The sequence below is a fragment of the Homo sapiens genome, chromosome 2 (assembly GCF_000001405.40).
Source record: "Homo sapiens chromosome 2, GRCh38.p14 Primary Assembly".
Taxonomy (NCBI): Eukaryota; Metazoa; Chordata; class Mammalia; order Primates; family Hominidae; genus Homo; species Homo sapiens.
The window spans coordinates 59,077,565-59,080,294 of record NC_000002.12 but is presented as its reverse complement, the minus strand read 5'-3'; the positions used below and the strand labels follow the sequence as shown (position 1 = coordinate 59,080,294).

The window sequence follows — 2,730 nt, the reverse complement described above, 5'->3', positions numbered from 1 at the left end:
AGCATACAGAATTCTTGGGGAGAGGAGTCCAGGATAGTGCTAGAGACGAACTTGGTTTGGTTTATTTGCAGTAACTGCTTTCAGGCATTCCCAGATTCTAAACTAATGTCCTTTCCTGAATATGTTACAAATCACCTCTATAATCAGTCTCAGTGCCCAGACTTACACAGGAATTAAACTCAACACTGCTGAAAAGCACTGCTACTTGAAGCCAAAAATAGCCCTCATGCCTCTAGTGAGGTACAGAAACCAACCCTTCAGGCTCCCACTGTCCCTCCCCACGGACATTCTCTGATTTCTTTCAAACTGTTATCTCCTTTTCCTAAAAGTAGGGTATATTTCCTGACTATGCAGAATCCCAAGCCATGTGCCTGCAAAGCACACCTGTGATTCAGAGGTACCTCTGTTCTGAAAAGGAATGCCCCAAACCATATGGGAAAGCAAAGCAAAGGAAGAATTTGCAGCCTTTTATTTTATCTTACTTTATTATTTTATTATTATTTTTGGGAAAATGGCAGATGAGTCACTTGACCCACTGTGAAGAAGCAAGATAAAGAATGAATTGTTTCTCTGACAATTACCCATGGCTCAAGTAATCACTAGGCCCAGATATAACCCTTGAGCTGTGCCGCTTTGGTTTGCTCTGAGTAAATAAATATAATCTAAAACACTTAGAGCTTACATATTCCAAAATTGTCCGCCTCTTGGATTTGCCATTACTCTTATTATTCTGAAGTGTACATATATTTCTGTTTCAAACAATGGTAATGATATACATTTTTGAATTGAAGGAAGCCTCCATAACCTGCTGTTTCTTTTTGTGGTGCATTCATCTGTAAATATACTTTAAAAACTATAAAACACTATACAAATATAAGCTATTTGACTGCACATGGTATGCATATTTTTATTTTTATGCACAACCACAATAATAATAAAAGGATTCTCAACTTGCCTGCATGCTAGCCATAGCAATAATATTTCACCAAACTCACACCTCAGCAAGGTTCATTGCATCCTTGTGAATTTGCAGACTAGACCTGGTGAACCCTTTCCTATCTGACAGACGTCACAACCCATTCACCCGAGTTGCCATATGTGGCTCCAGCTAAGAGTATCACCACACAATCATACATTTTTACAATGGGTCTATAAAACAACCATTATAATAAATGTCTGCTTAATTAATTCATTAGGACATAAAGCAATTTATTATGCTCTTATTTGCTATCATTCTCCCTGCTCAAATTTAATAATGCAAGAAGCTTTCTCTGATGCCAAACCCTAGAAATAATAAAAATACATTCATCATGGATATTGAACGCAGACACGCCTGGCAGTACTGCTGGCAGAGAGGAGGCAGTCAGATGTGGAAAAAGAAACTAGGGGATGTTTTGCACAAGCCTGGCTAGAATCGAGTCTCTACGAGAAAGGAAGGAGTCTAGTACAATGCTTGGCATGGCAACAACGAAGGTGCACAGAATAACTATTATTACAATATGCAACAAAAGGAGGAGGGAGAAGGAGAGTTGGGGTGAAAAGCTTTCACGTCAGTTAAATTCATGAGGGCTATGGAGGCTCAAATTGAAATTATCTCACTCTGTGCTGATAAATAAAGTAGCTCTGGTACCTAAATCATGACACTAACTATACATTTCGATTTTTTTAAGTAGTGATTAGGTGGATACTCTGGGGAACCTACCAGCCTTTGCAGAGATAACAGACTCAACTTAATATCAACTTAAAAAGAGACTTGAATTCTAACCAATCTCATGTAATGAATTGAAATTCTATAGCTTTCAGAAGGGGGGAAAGATAAAAAAGCGACACGGCTCCATTCTCTAACTTGCTGTCAGGAAATATAATTTGTGCTCTCGGTGATTCACCTAGCTCATATGCAGCATGCAAATTTATTTCCCTAATAATCAGACCTGGAGATTGCCCAAGAGGATTAATAGCATCATTCCTTATGACCGCCAGGATATTATGCACCTCTGACATGGAAAAATTGTGTTAGTTCTACAGAGAAAACGCAAGGATATTTGTCCTGCTAGACAATATAATAGGCTGGTGCATCATCAGATTACAATGTCATTTCAAAAACCTTGAATACAAATAATGTACAGTGAGGGAAATGTTGGAACAACCTCCCTTAATTCAGTAGCCTTGAATTCACAAGTATTTTTGTGTGTGCTATGTAGTGTATGCATAGTTTTTTTTTAAGCTTTCCAACGTTGCATGCAAAAAGGCAAGCACATTACACATTCCATGAGCTCTTGTCATTGTTTTTTGGAAAATGGATGAAAAAGACATGAGAAAAGGGCTCTTTCTATGGTTTTGGCTTATTTTTGTCCTGCCTGTATACAGCTAAAGGTAGTGTTCAGAAACAGAACTTTCACAGGTACACGTTGATTGGGGTTTATACATGGGGTGTGCTTGTTGGCATGTACACAGATAGAGGTATCTTAAGAATTTCCCTCCACTTATGTCTTTATTCAAACATAGAGTCATTCGTACCTTCAATTGTTCGATATTTGATGCTCAAAGTAAAACAATATGTTTCACAAGCATTGTTTGGGACTATATTTTATTTTACTTCTTTATGTTTTACAATCAATCGGTCAGGAATGTTCCAAAACAGTAATGTCTCCAGCTGTACTTTAGACCAAAGAACGCTGCCTTGAGACAAGACCAAATTTCATTATTATGCGCATGGGAGCAATAAGATTA

The 2,730-nt window shown here is 37.9% G+C and overlaps 1 annotated feature.

Moving 5' to 3' along the window:
- Positions 537–2,456: an enhancer, noted in NCBI's record as "VISTA enhancer hs975". NCBI's record gives its function as "enhancer in: midbrain (mesencephalon)[4/7]" and the evidence as "EXISTENCE:transgenic organism evidence [ECO:0001131][PMID:17130149]".